We start from the raw sequence: 19,986 nt of genomic DNA, 5'->3' as shown, positions 1-19,986 counted from the left end.
GTAGAGGGAAATTTATAGCACTAAATGCCCACAAGAGAAAGTAGGAAAGATCTAAAATTGACACCCTAACATCACCATTAAAAGAACTAGAGAAGCAAGAGCAAACACATTCAAAAGCTAGCAGAAGGCAAGAAATAACTAAGATCAGAGAAGAACTGAAGGAGATAGAGACACAAAAACCCTCAAAAAATCAATGAATCCAGGAGCTGGTTTTTTGAAAAGATCAACAAAATTGATAGACCACTAGCAAGACTAATAAAGAAGAAAAGAGAGAAGAATCATATAGACACAATATCAAATGATAAAGGGGATATCACCACCGATCCCACAGAAATACAAACTACCATCAGAGAATACTATAAACACCTCTATGCAAGTAAACTAGAAAATCTAGAAGAAATGGATAAATTCCTGGACACATACACCCTCCCAAGACTAAACCAGGAAGAAGTTAAATCCCTAAATCCTTAAATAACAGGCTCTGAAATTTAGGCAATAATTAATAGCCTACCAACCAAAAAAAAATCCAGGACCAGATGGATTCACAGCCGAATTCTACCAGAGGTACAAGAAGGAGCTGGTACCATTCCTTCTGAAACTATTCCAATCAGTAGAAAAAGAGGGAATCCTCCCTAACTCATTTTTTGAGGCCAGCATCATCCTGATACCAAAGCCTGGCAGAGACACAACAAAAAAAGAGAATTTTAGACCAATATCCTTGATGAACATTGATGCAAAAATCCTCAATAAAATACTGGCAAACTGAATCCAGCAGCACATCAAAAAGCTTATCCACCATGATCAAGTGGGCTTCATCCCTGGGATGCAAGGCTGGTTCAACATACGCAAATCAATAAACGTAATCCAGCATATAAACAGAACCAAAGACAAAAACCACAGGTTTGTCTCAATAGATGCAGAAAAGGCCTTTGACAAAATTCAACAACCCTTCATGCTAAAAACTCTCAATAAATTAGGTATTGATGGGACGTATCTCAAAATAATAAGAGCTATTTATGACAAACCCACAGCCAATATCATACTGATGGGCAAAAACTGGAAGCATTCCCTTTGAAAACTGACACAAGACAGGGATGCCCTCTCTCACCACTCCTATTCAACATAGTGTTGGAAGTTCTGGCCAGGGCAATCAGGCAGGGGAAAGAAATAAAGGGTATTCAATTAGGAAAAGAGGAAGTCAAAGTGTCCCTGTTTGCAGATGACGTGATTGTATATTTAGAAAACCCCATTGTCTCAGCCCAAAATCTCCTTAAGCTGATAAGCAACTTCAGCAAAGTCTCAGGATACAAAATCAATGTGCAAAAATCACAAGCATTCTTATACACCAATAACAGACAAACAGAGAGCCAAATCATGAGTGAATTCCCATTCACAATTGCTTCAAAGAGAATAAAATACCTATGAATCCAACTTACAAGGGATGTGAAGGACCTCTTCAAGGAGAACTACAAACCACTGCTCAATGAAATAAAAGAGGACACAAACAAATGGAAGAACATTCTATGCTCATGGATAGGAATAATCAATATCGTGAAAATGGCCATACTGCCCAAGGTAATTTATAGATTCAATGCCATCCCCATCAAGCTACCAATGACTTTCTTCACAGAATTGGAAAAAACTACTTTAAAGTTCATATGGAACAAAGAAGGGCCTGCATTGCCAAGACAATCCTAAGCCAAAAGAAAAAAGCGGGAGACATCACGCTACCTGACTTCAAACTATACTACAAGGCTACAATAACCAAAACAGCATGGTACTGGTACCAAAACAGAGATTAGACCAATGGAACAGAACAGAACCCTCAGAAATAATACCATACATCTACAATATCTGATCTTTGACAAACCTGACAAAAACAAGAAATAGGGAAAGGATTCCCTGTTTAATAAATGGTGCTGGGAAAACTGGCCAGCCACATGTAGAAAGCTGAAACTGGATCCCTTCGTTACACCTTATACAAAAATTAATTCAAGATGGATTAAAGACTTAAGTGTTAGACCTAAAACCATAAAAACCCTAGAAGAAAACCTAGGCAATACCATTCAGGACATAGGCATGGGCAAGGACTTCATGTCTAAAACACCAAAAGCAATGGCAGCAAAAGCCAAAATTGACAAATGGGATCTAATTAAACTAAAGAGTTTCTGCACAGCAAAACAAACTACCATCAGAGTGAACAGGCAACCTACAGAATGGGAGAAAATTTTTGCAATCTACTCATCTGACAAAGGGCTAATATCCAGAATCTACAATGAACTCAAACACATTTACAAGAAAAAACAACCCCATCAAAAAGTGGGCAAAGGATATGAACAGACACTTCTCAAAAAAGACTTTTATGCAGCCAACAGACACATGAAAAAATGCTCATCATCACTGGCCATCAGAGAAATGCAAATCAAAACCACAATAAGACACCATCTCACACCAGTTAGAATGGCGATCATTAAAAAGTCAGGAAACAACAGGTGCTGAAGACGATGTGGAGAAATAGGAACACTTTTACACGTTGGCAGGACTGTAAACTAGTTCAACCATTGTGGAAGACAGTGTGGCGATTCCTCAAGGATCTAGAACTAGAAATACCATTTGACCCAGCCATCCCATTACTGGGTATATACCCAAAGGGTTATAAATCATGCTGCTCTAAAGACACATGCACACGTATGTTTATTGTGGCACTATTCACAATAGCAAAGACTTGGAACCAACCCAAATGTCCATCAATGATAGACTGGATTAAGAAAATGTGGTACATATACACCATGGAATACTATGCAGCCAGAAAAAAGGATGAGTTCATGTCCTTTGTAGGGACATGGATGAAGCTGGAAACCATCATTCTCAGCAAACTATCACAAGGACAAAAAACCAAACACCACATGTTCTCACTCATAGGTGGGAATTGAACAATGAGAACACTTGGACACAGGAAGGGGAGCATCACACACGGGGGCCTGTCATGGGCTGGGGGGAGGGGGGAGGGATAGCATTAGGAGATATACCTAATGTAAATGACGAGTTAATGGGTGCAACACACTAACATGGAGCGTGTATACATATGTAACAAACCTGCACATTGTGCACATGTACCCTAGAACTTAAAGTAGAATAATAAACAAAAATTGATAATAAAAAAATTAATTAAAAAAAAAGAGTCACAGGCAGGAAGAGTAAGATGCCAAGTATAGGAGGAAGAGTGTGTGGTGGGTTAGTAAGAAGACGGCCCTCACTCTGAACGAGGGCTAGCTCTGAAAGTCACTTGTTTTCATTTTAAGCATTTTGGTGATTTCCATCTCAAAGAACCAGAAAGAATGTGACAGCATTTTAAGAGGAAGAGGTGAACTCTCCCACTTTGATGAGTTTGCTGCCAACTTTAGCAGGCTGTGGCACTCCTGGGGAGCACCATAGCCTTAAAGCCTAGATCAGCTGCCCTATGATGGGTGCAGGCCTTATAGACATGCCCAGATGAAGTCATATCTAAAAATGAACTTCTAAACCTCACGGGAGGGTCATCTTAGAACATGAAAAACTCCCCTGAAAATTTTTGTCAGTGCAACAGGTTTTGTTTACTTGGCAACAGTGAGCCCACTGTGGGAAAGGGGTTTTCCCAGCAGTCAGGCTAGCACCGTGGGCCCTGAGTAGGCAACCTGCAAATGACAGCACTGAGGCCACTGCCAGGAGCCAGCCCAGCCCTCCCTGTGGATGCTGAACGGAAGGGTAGGAAGGTTGAGCTCAGGCCAGCTTTATCAGCATGAGGAGGTGAAGTGGCTCCAAGGTCAAGAGCAGAAAGATGGAACCTTCATTTCCACAGAGATCATCCTGTTCAGGGGTAAAGCAAAGGGCCAGGCTTCCCCTACGGTGTCGCAACAGCCTCTGCACCAACCTCTGAGTGACAAAGCTGCATCTCCCTCTCGTCATCTCTTCCTGCTGGGTCCTCTACAGTCTGTGATTGTGTTTTCATTTCATTTATAATGTCTTTCATTGTACAAATATTTTTAATTTTTATGAATTCAAATCTGTGTATCTTTTCTTTTTTCGTGGCTTCCAAGTTTTGTGTCTTGCTCACCCTAGAATTATAAAAATATACTTTCATAAATTTATCCTTTCAATTTTTCACATAAAAATTTTTAAAAGAATTTTTATGTGAATTATTTTTAAAAGAATTTCTTTTACTTTTATTACAGTAAAGCCAAGGATGGATTTACAAAAAAATAAGTGGCACTAAAGAATTTACACTGAGGAGCAGTAATTCCTGCTTTATTCTTCTCCAACCCTGGGTCTGCTCCTCAGAACAAACTCATTTAAAGTTTTTTTGTTTTGTTTTGTTTTGTTTTTGAAACAGAATCTTGCTCTGTCACCCAGGCTGGAGTGCAATGGCACAATCTTAGCTCACTGCAACCTCCGCCTCTGAAGTTCAAGCAAGTCTCATGTCTCAGCCTTCCCAGTAGCTGGGATTACAGGTATGCACCACTATGCCCAGTTTTTTGGTTTTTTTTTTTTTTTTGGAGAGCTGGGGTTTCATCACGTTGGCCAGCTGGCCTCGAACTCCTGGCCTCAAGTGATCCGCCCACCTCAGCCTCTCAAAGTGCTGGGATTACAGGCATGAGCCACTGTGCCCAGCCTCCTTTTAAATCTTTTACTTGGTTTTGTTTTGTTTTGTTTTGTTTTCCAGTAATATAGGTATTCGGGTTCGGCTTCCTTTGCCCGTCTTCATCCATCTCACCTCCAGTGTCCAGAAATTTACCTTAGAAATCTGTGGTCCACAGGTCATGCTCCTAGACACATTGTAGGAGGAAGAGGAATTAAACACATCCCATTAGTACATAATCTTGGAAGAGAAGCCTTCTGAATTTTACAATCAGGATTGGGGAAACTCTGTAAAGTACCTTCCTGGTGTTCCTTTCTTCCAGCCTCTTTGATTAAGTCACATCAAAGCGCTAATGGCAAAGTTGTTTAATGTGTGTTTCTCCAAGGCAGGTTAGGATTTCACTGGGATTCTTAAAATTTGAGGGTGTCTGTGATCGTCAAAATTTGTATTCATGTAGTCCCTCATGAAATTTCTAAAACTCGGCTGGGTGCAGTGGCTCATGCCTGTAATCCCAGCACTTTGGGAGGCCGAGGAGGGTGGATCACAAGGTCAGGAGTTTGAGACCAGCCTGGCCAATATGGTGAAACCCCATCTCTACTAAAAATTTAAAAATTAGCCTGGCATGGTGGCACACGCCTGTAGTCCCAGCTACTCAGGAGGCTGAGGCAGAAGAATTGCTTGAACCCAGGAGGCGGAGGTTGCAGTGAGCCAAGATTGCACCACTGCACTCCAGCCTGGGCGGCAGAGAAAGACTTCATCTAAAAAAAAAAAAAGAAAATAAATTTCTAAAACTCTGTATTTCTTTGCTCTTTTAAGTTGACATCTATAACTTTCTATTACTTTAAATACCTGGAAAAAAAATCACTTCCAGTGCATTGTAATAATGTATCAAGTAGAAGTGGCTAAAATCAGTGAAAACATTTCTTTGATCTGAATAAATGTTCAAGAAAATAGAAAACATGAACTTACCTCCAATCTATGTTCCCTTTACTTGAAAATGTAATGTTGATCTACTAGAGGTAAGGCAGGAATTGTCACATCCATATTCCTTGCAACTATTCAAAATATGCATCTGAGACCAGAACAAGACACAGGTGAAGAAGGGTGCTCACTAGGCCCCTTCTGCCAATACAGAAGGAGACAGTGCAGTGGAGTCCTTTCATAGCAAGTTCTGCCTTCATGATTTCCAAAGCTTCAGTATTCCAAATCTCAGGTGAATAGGGTGGTATCCACTAAGCTCTGCCACAAACTTGTTGCTGAGATGAAGGAAGCCGCCGCTGTAGTCAGTATTTCTCACCCACACGGTTTGCTCTCTTTCTGGCTGGTGTGGGAAGGATGGCGTCTTTTTTTTTTTTTTTTTTTTGAGATGGAGTCTTGCTCTGTTACCCAAGCTGGATTGTAGTGTTGTGATCTCGGCTCACTGCAACCCATGCAAGGTGCTGTCAGGTTCCACCTGTGCAAACAAGTACACTGGTCCAGCATGGGTCAGCTGCTCACTCACAGGGGCTCCAGAATCCTACAAAGGGACACACAGGGGTGGGTGGCAACCTAGTTGGAAATGGGAGTGATGGGCATGACTAAAGTCTTCCTCATCCCACCAGAGGCGCACTCAACTGTGGCTAGGGTGACCAGAATTCACTGTCCAGCGTGGCTGGCAGGAGCCCACTCTCTGAAGATGGTGGGATTCAGAGGTGGGAGTAGAGTTGGGTGGTCCTGTGAGCTGAGCACTCTCCCAAAAGTGTCCCCTACATATGAGGTTGACAGCTTATTCCTGCAGGGACTCAGGAGTAACTCTGGGTGCTAAAACAAAACTTGAGACCAGCACAGAAACAGCCAGCCCATGAAGCTGGCCTCCCATCACACAGCAAGGCTAGCCAGATGCCCCTCACTCTTCTCGGGCACCATTCTTCTCCTCCCCTAGGCCGCCTGGTGCTCGTGGTGTTTCATGTTTGTTAGTCCATGCACGGTGGTGAGGGAGGCTGCTGTGTGATTTGCCCCAGCCACAGCCTCTACAAAAGCAACTAGAAGAAGACGGCAGCAGAGGGCGCTTCTTCAAACACCCTGTCCAACTCCTGGCACTGACAAGTACTGAGTGAACTCAAACCCTCTGTAAAGTAACAGAAGTTAGAAGGGGAAATGTCGCCTCTCTGAAGATTACCCAAAGAAAAAGTGATTTGTCATTGCTTTATAGACTGTAAGAAGAGAACATCTCAGAAGTGGAGTCTTACCCTGAAATCAAAGGATTTAAAGAAAAAGTGGAATTTTTCTTCAGCAAGTAAGTACATTTACTATTATCTTACTATGGGATAGCTTGGTAGAACTAGTTACCAGCAACCTCACTGCTTTTTAAACAAACAATACCTCTGCTACCACCTCCTGGATCCAGGCTTGCCCTCAAAGGAACCCTTAGGGTCTCATTCCCACAGGAGGCTGTGGCTTCCCGACATATTTGGAGCATCATAGTGAGAATTGTGGCCCATTATTTTAAAATATCCTAGATCCTAGCAAATATTGTTTTTGTGGGCCGTATTTGAATTTCTCAAGCCAGTAAAATTCTAGTGAAAGTGGGAAAATCGCTTGAGCTCGGGAGGTTGAGACTGTGGTGAGCTATGGTCACGCCACTGCACTCTAGCCTGTGTGACAGAGCAAGATTCTATCTTAAGAAAAACAAATTCTGGTGAATAAGTCTCTTTTAACTAATCCTGTCTAAAATGGATGATGGCTAATAAAACAATATGGCGTGGCTGGAACTCTAGCTCTAGGGTGGTCTCCAAAGAGGACACTCAAGCATTCTCTGAGCAGCACGGGGCTGTGTCCTGGTAGCAGCCTGAAGGGGTGACAGTGGAGCACAGTGTTTATTTTCATTTCTCAATTTTGACATATTTACTGGAAAAATTAATCCCTAGCCACCTCACATGACAGTACATAATTTTTTTTTTTTTTTTTTTTGAGATGGAGTCTCACTCTGTCGCCTAGGCTGGAGTGCAGTGTTGCAATCATCTTGGCTCACTGCAGCCTCCACCTCCTGGATTCAAGCAATTCTCGTGCCTCAGCCTCCCAAGTGGCTGGGATTACAGGCACCCACCACCACACCTGGCTAATTTTTGTATTTTTGGTAGAAATGGGGTTTTGCCATGTTGGCCAGGCTGGTCTGGAACTCCTGGCCTCAAGTAATCCGCCCACCTCAGCCTCCCAAAGTGCTGGGATTACAGGCGTGAGCCACCACGCCTGGCCCTGGAGTACATAATTTTGATAAGTAACGTCTGCAGTGTCTTTTTTTCCCTCCCTTTTTATGGATAGACTTTTCTGGTTATTGAGATCTCATACCCCTTTATGATATATTATTTGAGTAGAGGGTTTAAAGAATTGAGATACTTGTTTTCTTATGTTAATATGTCAAGAAAGAAGTTGTTTCATAACTTAGGTCCTGCCTTGGACAAAATACACCCTTACTGTCTGCTCTATGTTTCTTGGTATGTTCAGAAGAGGATTTGAACTTTTGCAGGTTGGCTAACAGATATGGAGGGTCCTTAGAGCTCTCCTGTTTCTAACCAAATCTTCACCCCACCTATTAAGTAGAAAGCCTTTTCATGGAAGGGCTGTGGTTGGTTCTTGGAACTGGTCCCCTCACAGAATTTCCATTCGCTTTTCCTCAGGGTCACGCCCTGCTTTAGAGGTTGCTTAGGTTAAGCTCTCCAATTAATTTTAGCAGGCAACTCGAGAGTTTTGCAACTCAAAGTAGGCACACCTTCCTTCCTGAATGACTTTTATTTGTTCCTTTTTCAGGCTGTGAAACTAAATCCACAACCTTTGGAGACCCAGGAACACCCTCCAATCTCTGTGTGTTTTGTAAACATCACTGGAGGGTCTTCTACGTGAGCAATTGGATTGTCATCAGCCCTGCCTGTTTTGCACCTGGGAAGTGCCCTGGTCTTACTTGGGTCCAAATTGTTGGCTTTCACTTTTGACCCTAAGCATCTGAAGCCATGGGCCACACACGGAGGCAGGGAACATCACCATCCAAGTGTCCATACCTCAATTTCTTTCAGCTCTTGGTGCTGGCTGGTCTTTCTCACTTCTGTTCAGGTAAGCAACTTTCAGGAACTTAACTGAGTCAACTGCTACAGGGTTAAGAGAAAGGACATGGGGTTCTCTGAGCTGCTCCCTTCTATTATCCTATAAGCTGGAAGGAACCTTCAGGGTGTTTTCAGAAGATTTTAAAGATTAGAAGACTGTGGTCCAAAGAGGTTAAAGGACCTGCCTATCATCACACAGCAAGTTAGCAACCAAGTTAACTCAAGAACCCAGGCCTTCAAGGAAGCGTGGAAGGGACAGTGTTATTTTAACAAAACCATACAGCCGATTCATAATGGTCTCTTCCATGAATATTAGATGCTCATTTACATTTTGTGATGTGCCGATACTGGCCTCGGAGTCTAGTCCCAAACTATGTTTTCATGATACAGCTCAGCGAAAGTGTCCTGCTTCTAAAATTGAACAATGGTGATCTTCTTTCCAATCTGAAGGCGGGAGAGTAGTTGAGGACAATTCCTCTTAATGACATTCATCTTCTTAACCTTCTTAAGTTCCTCTTAATACATTAATCTTATTTGTTCTGCTTTGGATGCTGAGATCTTTTTTCAACATTGGCATCTGACTTTAAGTGGTATCAGATTTAACACAAAATTATGTTTTTAGTTATTTTTAATCTGCCACATAGGTATTACATATATGTCCTGAAAGTAATAATTTGACTTCTAGAGGCTTTTGTTCCTGCTCAGGTGATCTTAAGAGTGCTGAACTTTTGGGACTGTCAAGAAGGGTGAGGCTTGTCCCTGCTGGCAGGATGGTTCTGATTTTTTTTTTTAAGTCAGAAAACAAAAGATCTGTTTTCTAGTGAGCAGCATACTTCCCAGTTTCCCAAAAACAAAGAAGTTTGGGCTCCAGCATGATTTGCCAGTCTGCAAAGACCCGACTATTAAGGGTCCTTGTCTTAAAAACTTCTCACATAAAGTACTGCCTAGAATATCAGAGGTGTGAGAGAGAGGTAGAGGGAAGAGAAGAGGAGTTGGGGGCCCACAGATTACTTGACTGCGATGGTGGTCATTTAAAATTTTCTGTCCAGAGCTATTTTACATTGTTTCAGAACCAAGAGAAACATGGCCTACATTTCACAATTTACACCTCAGGTTTTTTATATATTTGACAGTTACATTACATTTCCAACAGTTACAATTTCCTTCTGGGGAGCTGGGGAAGCATTCCCAAACTAGTCTTCTGGGGAGTACAGAGGAGTTTAAAATATATAGAAGGAAATTTGTACAGGCTTCCCAGAAATAAGGGGGGCAGGGAGGGGGAGAGACAGAAAGAGGGAGAACAATAAAAAAAGTAAAAGAGGACATAAAATAAAAATTAAAACCCAGACTTTAGAAATTGTACAAGGAAAATTAGGGTCAGAGGTAAGTGGAAAGAGATCTTTGAGCTAAAGAAAGATGTTTAGGAAAGCACCTTGTTCTCTAGCTACATCCTGGTTTTACTGCTGCTGTGACTGAGTCAATGAAGCACCTACTGTGTGCCAGGTGGGCCATAAAAGTTGAGGCTAGGATTCCTGCACTCAAAGAGGTCTGCATATGTTAGTTGCGGAAATGCAAAGCTAACCCATGTAGAACAAGCAAAGAGCAATGAAATGCTTTGCCCTGATTGTAGGAGCCCAAGATCTGGGAAAGTGGGTAACAGACTGGGCTGCAGGAAGGAGGGCAGGCTTTACAGAGGCAGATGGATGATGGAGAGAGAATTCTGGTCAGGGCAACAGCCTGGACAAAGGCACAAAGGTAAGGATGAGGCTGGCACAGGTGTTCATTCTTTTGTTTAATCATTTATTAATTCAACAAACATGAGCATCTCCTAAAACCAAGAGACTTTTCTTGGTCCTGGGGACATGGCTCTTGCATTTGTGAAATTTACTATCATTGGAAAGAGGAAAAGTAATCCAATAGCCACTCAAATGAATGTGTTAAAGTGTGGCCAACAAACAAAGCCACGTGCTTTGAAGGCAGGGCACAGGCACTGCCTGAGGAAGTGCTGTCTTCCTCTGCCAGCAAGAAGGGGCAGTGAGCTGGGAAGTAGCAGAGGAGGGACTGGCCCAGTGAGCAAGAACCGGACCCTGCAGCACTTGTGAGTTATAATCATGAATCCGCATGTTATTCAGGAAGCTGGAAGGGCTTTACCCAGGAGAGTGGCGTGGTCTACCCCAGCTCTGTTCACTCTTTACACATACCAATAGCCTGGGGGTTTTGCTAAATTGCAGTTTCTAGCACAGGGAATTTTTTAGAGAAGTGAATCTATTTTGCATAATACTGTAATGATAGATATAAGTCATTATAAATTTGCCCAAATCCATAGAATATGCAATACCAGGAGTGACCCCTATCGTGAACTCTAGATTTGGGGTGGTAATGATGTGTTAATGTAGGTTCATTGATTGTAACAAGTGTACTGCCCTGGCGCAGGATGTAGACAGTGGCGGAAGCTGTGAATATGTGGGGAGGGGGTTACTTTACATTCAATTTTTCGATGAACCTAAAGCAGCTCTAAAAAATAAAGTCTATATAGTTTTTTAAATGCTGTTTCTGCTTAGGTGGGTCTGGGATGGGGCCTGAGATTCTGCATTTCTAAGAAGCACCTAGGTGATGCTGATGCTGCTCCACCATACACTTTGAGTTTCAGTAGTAAAGGTGTAAATAACTTTAAAAGGAAAAAAGTGTTACTGAAGAACAGAGTGGCTTGTAGGGCAGCCACAGTGACTGTGCAAAACCTATTAGGAGGTTATTTCAGTAACTTACAGTAACTGATGATGTCTTTAATGAAAAGAATTGGATCAGAAGGAAGTTGATGGGTTGGAGAGTGTGTACCATGTAAAATTAGTGAGGACTGCTCAACGGGAGTGTAGGTGTGAGTGTGCATGGTCTGTGGGAGGTGAGATTCAGTGAATACAGTGGAGTAGGATTATAGAGGGCTTTATTCAGGGCAGAGATTTGCCACACTAGGCCTTCCTCTCCTGCCACACCATGGCAGAGGTGTTCCCCCTCTCCTCCTGCCCAGCCACTGATGCCCAGGGGAAGGGACTCCTCTTTCATGCACAGGGTGGAACCAGCCAGGCTCCTCTCCCCCTCTAGGCCTGCAGGCACTGTCTATGGAGGCAGAAACGCCTGACTTTATAGTCCAGCAACTGGTGGCAGTAAGGCAGAGGCTCTAACAGGGCAGCCCTCAGAGGGACCAATGTGGGCAGCTTTTCCTTCAGAGCTGGAGTCCTTTAAGAGAGGGTCAGGTCTAAGGAGAGGGGAAAGGCCTCCTGTAGGAGGAGGCAAGAGATGTAGGAAAAGCATTGCCTATAAGTTTATAGTCTGAGAACTCAGAGCTAGGAGAAAAGAGAATACCCCAAAGTGCCACCATTCACAGAACACATCCTCCTCTCCCTGCAACACACACCGCTATGCTGCTGGCCCAGGGGTCCCATGAGCAGTGATTGTTGCCATCATCACCCTGACAACAGCTGTTCAAGTCCCTGTGCATTTTAAGGATATAAATACTGTTTAGAAAGAGAAAAAGTAAGGATCAGATGGTACAGAGTATATGAGCAGGGTCTAAACAGGGGGAAAAGTCAGGAACAGTGTGAACACGAGGAGACACAGGTCTCAAGCCTGTGGCTGCCAGAGGCAGCTCTGCCTGTCTCCTTTGTGTGGCTAGCACCTAGCCCAGGGCTGACACCAGCCCTGTCGGTGCTAGTTCACCTAATCAAACATTTAGAGGGGGGTCACTCCTGTTGGAAGAGTGTGCACAAACCAGGAACGGTAAAATCTCCAGGTGGTGAGACAATAGGTGACTTTCACGCTTTTCTATATCTTCCATTCTTTCTAAGAATGTTTATTTCATAGTCAGGGAAAATGTTTATTTAAAAAGCACACTTGTGTTTCCAGGGAGATCATGTATGTCCCGTCATTTGGTGAGTTAAAAGATGTTGTGTCAACTGCTTCTCTCCCTTCTCCACTAGCAGTGGTGATGCAGCTCCCAGACCCCTGCGAGGGCAGCCTCTCTAACGGCTGCTGAGGTTGAACTCCCTGGGAGGGGCACTGCAGACTGGCCACTGCATCCTCCAGGCCTCCAGGCTGCACGGAGAGGGTGGGGAAGACTCAGGTCTTCCTAGTATGGATTCTTCTTTTCCCTTCATGTTTTATTTGCAATGACATAAAATTCAACGTTTTAAAGTATACAATTCAGCCAGGCACGGTGGCTCACTCCTGCAATCCCAGCATTTTGGGAGGCCGAGATGGGTGGATCACCTGAGGTCAGGAGTTTGAGACCAGCCTGGCCAACATGGTAAAACCCTGTCTCTACTAAAAATGCAAAAATTAACCACACAAGGTGGCCCGTGCCTTTAATCCTAGCTACTCAGGAGGCTGAGGCAGGAGAATCTTTTGAACCCTGGAGGCGGGGGTTGCTGTGAGCCAAGATCATGCCACTGCACTCCAGCATGGGCAACAGAGCGAGACTCTGCCTCAGTAAATAAATAAATAAATAAATAAATAAATAAATAAATAAATAAATAAATAAAGTGTACAATTCAGTGGGTTTTAGTATATTTGCAATGTTGTGAAACCACCATCACTATCGAATTCCAGAAGGAAATGTTCTGGATGATGATGGAAATCATCATCCCAGAAAGAAACCTGCGCCTATTTGCAGCTACTCCTCATTCCCCTGTACCCCATCTCCTCGTAACCACTAATTTACTCTCTGTCTCTATGAATTTGCCTGTTCTAGACATTTCTTTTCTCTTCCTTTTTTTCCAGAATCCAGGTAAGAAAGAATATTCTGGACATTTCTTACAATATGTGGCGTTTCGTGACTATTTTCTTTCACTGAGCATTATGTCTTTCAGGTTCATCCATGTTGCGTATGTCTTAGTACTCCATTCGCTTTTACGGCCAAATAATATTCTGAAATAATATTCTGTTGTAGATTGAGATCTATTTTTTCTTTTTGTAGCGATGGGGTTTTTGCTATGTTGCCTAGGCTGGTCTCGATTTCCTGGGCTCAAGCAATCCACCCGCCTTGGCCAGCTCCCAAAGTGCTGGGATTACGGGTGCCTGGCCTAGATTGAGCCCTTGAGAGGTCCTTTTTTTTTTTTTTTTTTTTTTTTTTGAGACAGAGTCTTGCTCTGTCGCCCAAGCTGGAGTGCAGTGGCACAATCTCTGGCTCACAGCAAGCTCCGCCTCCCGGCTTCACGCCATTCTCCTGCCTCAGCCTCCCGAGTAGCTGGGACTACAGCTCGTAAAAGTCCTCCACACAAAAATCAGCCCGCCACCACGCCTGGCTAATTTATTTTTTTTGTATTTTTAGTAGAGACGGGGTTTCACCGTATTAGCCAGGATGATCTTCGAGCTCCTGATCCGCCTGCCTCGGCCTCCCAAAGTGCTGGGATTACAGGCGTGAGCCACCACGCCCGGCCGAGAGGTCCATTATTTGTCTAAAATTCTTGGTCTCTACTCTTGTTGGCAAATAGCTTCCTCTCCTGTGTGGCTAGCAGTCCAGAGTTGAAGTGGTCAGAGCAGGAGGGTGGCCAAGGGGTCAGGAGAGGCAGAGGCTGAGGCCAGCAGTGTTGAGTGTCCCTATTGTGCCCTACAGGTGGGCAGTTTCCATGCATTCGCCAGAAGGCGAGCAGCGTTGCCGTCCATCTCTGCCTTCTCTCCGCCTCCTTTCACAGCCTCTGGCCCTTTCTGACTGCTGCTGGGTAGAGGTGCAGGAGGGGCTCCCCATGCCAGCTATGGGCACTGAACTCAGTTCAAGAATCAGCCAGTTACCATGGTGATGCTGGTCCTATGGGGGTGTGGTTCAGCAAAGCAGGCTGTTGTGCATGAGAAAGAACAGCCCCATTTAAAATCTGTAGAGCATTCTAAAGTTAAGAAAGCACTTTACATCTGGTATCCTGTGATCGCTGTGATAATTATGTGAAGCAGGGAAGATAGTTATCTCGGTCTGGTTTGTGCTGCTATAACAGAATACCTGACATTGGGTAATTTAGAAAGAACAGAGATTTATTTCTTACTGTTCTGGAGGCTGGGAAGTCCAAGGTCAAGGGGCTCACATCTGATGAGGACCTTCTTGCTGCATCATCCCATGGCAGAGGATAGAAAGGCAGGAGAGCACGCCCAAGGCAGAGTAGGAAGGAGGCCAAAACCATCCTTTATAAGGAAGCCACTCCTGCTGTAGTGAACCCACTCCCAAAAAAATGGCATTAATCCATCCATGATGGCAGAGTCTCCATGACCTAATCACCTTTTAACAGTCCCAATTCTCAACACTGTTGCACCCGGAATTAAATTTCCAACACAAAACCTTTAGGGGACACATTCAAATCATAGCAATAGTATTATGACTGTTTTACAGAGATGGAACCTGAAGCCCAGAGAGGTTACCCAGCTTGCTCAAGGTTATGATTCTAATACACAGTGGATGGAGCCAGACCTCATTTCCTCATGCCTAGACATGCATTCAGCAAGTATTTACTGAGCACCTACTATGGGCCAGGCCCTGTTCTAGACACTGCAGATATGGCAGTGAACAAAGGAGGAAGCCTCTGCTCCATAGCTCCATACGTAATTATGTATCACATATACCTGTAAATATACATCACAGTTGTAAAAATATATATCAGCTGGAGACAAGCCTGAAGAGAAACAAATCAGGCAAAGAGACTAAAGAGTAGCAGGATGGAGGGGGGCAGGGAGGATGGCGCTGTTCAAGGAGAGTCAGGGAAGGCCTCTTTGACAAGGGGCCACGAGAGTAGATGTGAGCAAAGTGGGACCTGAACTGTGTGGATCTCTGGGGAAGACACTGGCTCCCTCTAATGTCCTAGGTACTGTGGAGGACTTTTATGAGCAGTATCTCATTTTGAATCCTTGCACCCACTGGGTTGGGTAGGTGTTACAATGCCCATTCAAAAATGGCAAAGCAAGCTCAGAAGTTCAACCAGGTTTGAGACAGTAATATTGAGATTTCCAGGTGCTGACTTTCCCCGCCAGTCACTGAAGCAGACAAAATCGTTAGAGACATTTCCGTTTCAACTGCTTTTTGTCCGTGTGTGATGGAGTCCCTAAAACAGACAAAACTGATATAAATTTGGGCAAATTTATAATGACTGTTTTCTGTCTCTGTGTGGTGGAATCCCGAAAACTGGGTTCCCGTGTGAATTTCCAAATTGTTCGGAAGATTTTGGGTTCCTCTTTTTAGTCCTGTTCTTCTTCACTCTTCTCCTCAGAAGGCTGGACAAAAACTCCTCAGAAGCCATCACCAAAATTAGATAGTCTCTCTTTCAGCTATGCTTTCACTTTTGCTAACATCACCACATACCAAAATCAGTGAGAAATATTGGATTCTTTTTGGCTGGGAATGAATAGTTCGGTGGGGAAAGACCCTATTATTGGGAGGCCCAGACAAGTGAGTTGCTGTCTGTCTGGCCCATAGCAAGACCAGAGTGCTATATATCTGACATAACCCTTGAGTGAAATGAAAGGTAAGAGTTGGCAGTGGGAGGAGGGAGAAAGAAAAATGGAAACTCTTACAGAAGACCTGCTATGTCCTTGGGACTTTTTATTTATATCATTTAATTGAACTGAATTTTCCAGTGATCCCAAGGGGTAGGTGTCATACCTATTTAGAGATGAAGAAACAGATGAAACAGCAAGTGGCTGAGCTGGGACTAGAATCCAAGTCAATGGAGATGGATAGCCCATGTTCCTTCTACGTCTCATTTTGCTTTCCTTGCAACACTAGGAGTGTCTGGGTTGTCATTTGATCTTTAGCTAATATAGCTTCACTTTGAAATATGCTCCCTTCAAGTATGTCTTTTTATTTCTTCCTTTCTTTCAGTTATATTCCCTAAAGCAGGGACTGGCAACATTCCACACAATTGCTGAAGAGGTGCCTGGACCTTTCTGCATTACCTCACTTTGCTATGCAAATACCCACCATCACAAAACTCTCTTGTTCAGTGCTGTGGTGGGGCCGTATCCAGTCTGACAGAGGCCTGAGAATGGCTGGTGAGATGGAAAGGTGCTAGTGCCCCATGATCCTGCTATCTAAGAAAAGAGAGGGCTTGGAAATGAAGTCCCTAGACATGGGTCTCCCTAAGGGGATCTGTGTGGCTCCAGGGGATACAGGGCCCAGAAGGCACAGTACGACAGCACTGGGCAGGGGGCGCTGGGGCCTTAGAGGGATGCTGCTTTTAGGTCCTACAAGAGCCTAGGAAGAATGACCATGCCTTCTAAACCAAAAATCAGAAAATACAGCCTGCTAAGGAATTTTGGTGCTATTGACACAGAGACTAGTTTAGATATTGATATGCTGATATTTCTTGGCTATGTGGATGGAGAAATGAACAGAATATTTTAAATAAAAACTCTTTTAGCAAATCCAGGCTGGAGGGTAATTGTATGGCATGGACTGCAGATAGCCAAAGAGATAAAGGCAGGATATAGGATCCATTTAGGGTACCTGAAGATGGTAGAAATAGTCCAAAGGTATAAGCATGGGAGTCATTTCAGCCTGGAACCATGGGATCAATCAGGCCTGGAAAGAAAGGGACTCTGTTTCTTATTTATTTATTTATTTATTTATTTTGAGACGGAGTCTCACTCTGTCACCCAAGCTGGAGTGCAGTGGTGTGATCTTGGCTCACTGCAACCTCTGCCTCCCAGGTTCAAGTGATTCTCCTGCCTCAGCCTCCTAAGTAGCTGGGATTACAGGTGTGTCCCAACATGCCCGGCTAATTTTTTTGTATTTTTAGTAGAGATGGGGTTTCACCATGTTGACCAGGCTGGTCTCAAACTCCTGACCTCGTGATCTGCCCACCTCAGCCTCCCAAAGTGCTGGGATTACAGGCTTGAGCCATGATGCCCGGCCTGGGACTCTGTTTCTTATAGCAAAAGGGCTCAGTGGTAGGGCTGGATTGGGGTGGGTGGGGACAGTGTTGGCTTAACTTACTGACTGTGGCCTAAAACTGAAGAAATCGGTAAACAAGAAGAATGGCCCTAAAAGCCTGGGCCAGAAAGAAAAAAATGTGTAAAACTGGGGCAGTTTCTTTTCCTCAGCTCAGTTTCCTCATTTGTAAGATAAGGCCACGAGAATGAATGATCATGGAAGTCCCTTCCAGATCTCACATTCCTTACTATGACTTTCATATCCCCTGGGGCTGAGCACATCGTTTAACCCATGGTTGGCACTTATATTCAGGTCTTCTCAGGGGACCAGTGGACTTTCTCACTCACTAGGGATCCCTGTCTCTGTCCCCAACTCCTGGCCCATAGGCATCTGGCTATATACATAAGACAAGCAGGTGCCTTTCCATATTTCTGAATGCTCACGATGTCTCATCATGCTAGGCGTGGTGGCTCACACTTGTAATCCCAGCATTTTGGGAGGCTGAGGTGGGAGGATCACCTGAGATCAGGAGTTTGAGACCAGCCTGGCAAACATGGTGGAAACCCTGTCTCTACTAAAAATACAAAAATTAGCTGGGCATGATGGCGGGCGCCTGTAATCCCAGCTACTCAGGAGGCTGAGGCAGGAGAACTGCTTGAACCTGGGGGTGGAGGTTGCAGTGAGCTGAGATCGCGCCACTTCACTCCAGCCTGGGCAAAAGAACAAGACTCCGTCTCAAAAAAAAAAAGAAAAAGAAAAAAGAAAGAAAGATGTGTCGTCTTATGGAGATTCAGGGAAGGGGAAGATTCTGGATAACTCTTGAAAGATAACGTCACTGGAAGAGCTTTACCCATTTGGTGGGGTGTTGAACTGGATGTAGGAGCAGCACACAGTGGTATGTATAGGTGGAAAAATAAGGCAATTTGCTTGTCAGTATATCAATAGTTATATCAAAGGTGTAAGGTGGCTGCTAATATATTGAATTCAACTTTAGGCTGCAAACATAGATTTAGGTAAAGGAAGTGACAACCCGGTTCTACTCTGAGCCAATCACACAGTGGATGTCTGGAATGCTAGATTTAGTGACTTCGCTCTCTCAAAAAAATATACACACAAATCAAACTGTGTAGTGAGGAAAGTGAGGGTACTCACTTTCAGTACATCAATAAGGAACAGGGGCAGATGGGAACCTGCAGAACTGTCTGAGAGAGGATATAAGTATCCTCAGATATCTGCAAGTCTTGTTACATAAGAAGAATGAGATGTGTTTTGTAATGCATGTAGAAGCTAGAGGGAAACAGACTTCAACATAAAGCAAAGCAAAACTTCCTCAGTCAAATTGTCCAAAGACGAAATCAAAAGCCTTAGAGGTTGGTAAATTCCCCACCCCCTTGGAGAAAGGAGAATGGGATTCATATTTGGTGTGGGTCTAGGCATTGAATTACAGTATGTGCTTGCCATAAATTATCTCATTTAATCTTCATAATAACCAATGTGAAGACTGGGGTTCAGAGAAGTAAAGTAAGTTGCTTAAGGTCACACAACTACTGTGGATTTTATTGAATGAAAAAAGCCCATGTTCTTTCTATACCAACAACCAGGAGCCTCTAGGCAAGGATGTTAGCAGGGTGCACTTAGTCATGGTTGCCTTTAAGGTAGGTAGGGAAGTAGGCAGTCCTGAGAGCTTTAAATCCTAAGTCACTCAAGTGAAAAGGGGAGGAATCAGGATGTGTATTAAGGTGACAGATGAAGGTTTTATTCCTGTGCCACGCCACTGAAGTCACATGAAATGGATTGTCTTTAGCTCACTTAATCTGGATAAAATTTATTCTTAGATTTTTCCCACGGTTAAATGCAGTTCTGTAGTTTAAATGAATGCGTGTACATGTGCATATCTGTGTGTGTGTGTGTGTGTGTGTGTTGTTGCATCACGTGATTGTGGGGAGAGGGGCTGTAGGAGAAACGCAAGGGAAAAGGCAGTGAGCATCAGAGACTAGGTCTTTACAGTGAAATTCTTCCTTATTTCTCAAGGCAGTAGTAGCTGAAAATTACCTAATCAAGTGACCAGGCAACAGATCCAAGAAGGAGGCCTTCTGTAAGTGAGAATTCATGAATAATGAAGATTGATTATATTCCCTACCTATTTAAAGTATGGCCCTCTTTTTTCTTCTTAGTTGACCTCATCTCCCTCCCTTATTCTTCGTCATGACTGCAGAATCATAGGCCCTTGGAATCTCAGGCTGACCTGCCCTGTCCTAGACTTCCTGAACCTCTCAATCTCTCAGTTGTCTCAGCTGCAAAATGGGGAAAATAATACATATCTTGTGGGGTTGTTGGGGGATTAAATGACATAGCACCTGTCCCCTCCATAGAGCCACCACAGAGGAAGCAAA

At 43.7% G+C, this 19,986-nt stretch overlaps 1 protein-coding gene and 1 long non-coding RNA gene across 2 annotated transcripts in view, besides 10 other annotated features; one reads left to right on the top strand and one right to left on the bottom strand.

The window, feature by feature from the left end:
* Positions 3,372 to 3,961: an enhancer, noted in NCBI's record as "active region_20312". NCBI's record gives its function as "activates an Ori minimal core promoter by ATAC-STARR-seq in GM12878 lymphoblastoid cells {active_cell/tissue: GM12878}" and the evidence as "EXISTENCE:reporter gene assay evidence [ECO:0000049][PMID:35858748]".
* LOC107986118 (uncharacterized) lies at positions 4,004 to 5,900 on the bottom strand. Its single transcript, XR_001740861.2, has 2 exons — positions 5,585 to 5,900; positions 4,004 to 4,094 (listed from the first exon to the last, which is right to left on the bottom strand). It is a non-coding gene; the product is annotated as an uncharacterized LOC107986118 (long non-coding RNA).
* Positions 6,443 to 6,492: an enhancer, noted in NCBI's record as "active region_20311". NCBI's record gives its function as "activates an Ori minimal core promoter by ATAC-STARR-seq in GM12878 lymphoblastoid cells {active_cell/tissue: GM12878}" and the evidence as "EXISTENCE:reporter gene assay evidence [ECO:0000049][PMID:35858748]".
* Positions 6,716 to 19,986, top strand: part of CD80 (CD80 molecule) — a 35,322-nt gene continuing 22,051 nt past the window's right edge. Inside the window, exons 1-2 of the mRNA NM_005191.4 lie at positions 6,716 to 6,890; positions 8,402 to 8,701. Of these exons, the coding sequence (NP_005182.1) occupies positions 8,602 to 8,701 (100 nt within the window). The 5' untranslated portion in view covers positions 6,716 to 6,890; positions 8,402 to 8,601. The remainder of the gene's footprint in view (positions 6,891 to 8,401; positions 8,702 to 19,986) is intronic.
* Positions 7,263 to 7,322: an enhancer, noted in NCBI's record as "active region_20310". NCBI's record gives its function as "activates an Ori minimal core promoter by ATAC-STARR-seq in GM12878 lymphoblastoid cells {active_cell/tissue: GM12878}" and the evidence as "EXISTENCE:reporter gene assay evidence [ECO:0000049][PMID:35858748]".
* Positions 7,593 to 7,752: an enhancer, noted in NCBI's record as "active region_20309". NCBI's record gives its function as "activates an Ori minimal core promoter by ATAC-STARR-seq in GM12878 lymphoblastoid cells {active_cell/tissue: GM12878}" and the evidence as "EXISTENCE:reporter gene assay evidence [ECO:0000049][PMID:35858748]".
* Positions 8,114 to 8,408: a silencer, noted in NCBI's record as "tiled region #12076; HepG2 Repressive non-DNase unmatched - State 22:ReprW". NCBI's record gives its function as "weakly represses a minimal TATA promoter and a strong SV40 promoter by Sharpr-MPRA in HepG2 cells {active_cell/tissue: HepG2}" and the evidence as "EXISTENCE:reporter gene assay evidence [ECO:0000049][PMID:27701403]".
* Positions 8,114 to 8,408: an enhancer, noted in NCBI's record as "tiled region #12076; K562 Activating DNase matched - State 5:Enh". NCBI's record gives its function as "activates a minimal TATA promoter and a strong SV40 promoter by Sharpr-MPRA in K562 cells {active_cell/tissue: K562}" and the evidence as "EXISTENCE:reporter gene assay evidence [ECO:0000049][PMID:27701403]".
* Positions 11,811 to 11,990: an enhancer, noted in NCBI's record as "active region_20308". NCBI's record gives its function as "activates an Ori minimal core promoter by ATAC-STARR-seq in GM12878 lymphoblastoid cells {active_cell/tissue: GM12878}" and the evidence as "EXISTENCE:reporter gene assay evidence [ECO:0000049][PMID:35858748]".
* Positions 12,051 to 12,100: an enhancer, noted in NCBI's record as "active region_20307". NCBI's record gives its function as "activates an Ori minimal core promoter by ATAC-STARR-seq in GM12878 lymphoblastoid cells {active_cell/tissue: GM12878}" and the evidence as "EXISTENCE:reporter gene assay evidence [ECO:0000049][PMID:35858748]".
* Positions 12,331 to 12,430: an enhancer, noted in NCBI's record as "active region_20306". NCBI's record gives its function as "activates an Ori minimal core promoter by ATAC-STARR-seq in GM12878 lymphoblastoid cells {active_cell/tissue: GM12878}" and the evidence as "EXISTENCE:reporter gene assay evidence [ECO:0000049][PMID:35858748]".
* Positions 15,799 to 16,018: an enhancer, noted in NCBI's record as "active region_20305". NCBI's record gives its function as "activates an Ori minimal core promoter by ATAC-STARR-seq in GM12878 lymphoblastoid cells {active_cell/tissue: GM12878}" and the evidence as "EXISTENCE:reporter gene assay evidence [ECO:0000049][PMID:35858748]".

The sequence above is a fragment of the Homo sapiens genome, chromosome 3 (assembly GCF_000001405.40).
Source record: "Homo sapiens chromosome 3, GRCh38.p14 Primary Assembly".
NCBI lineage: Eukaryota > Metazoa > Chordata > Mammalia > Primates > Hominidae > Homo > Homo sapiens.
Note: the sequence above shows the minus strand (reverse complement) of the source record. Positions and strands in the feature narration are given on the sequence as shown.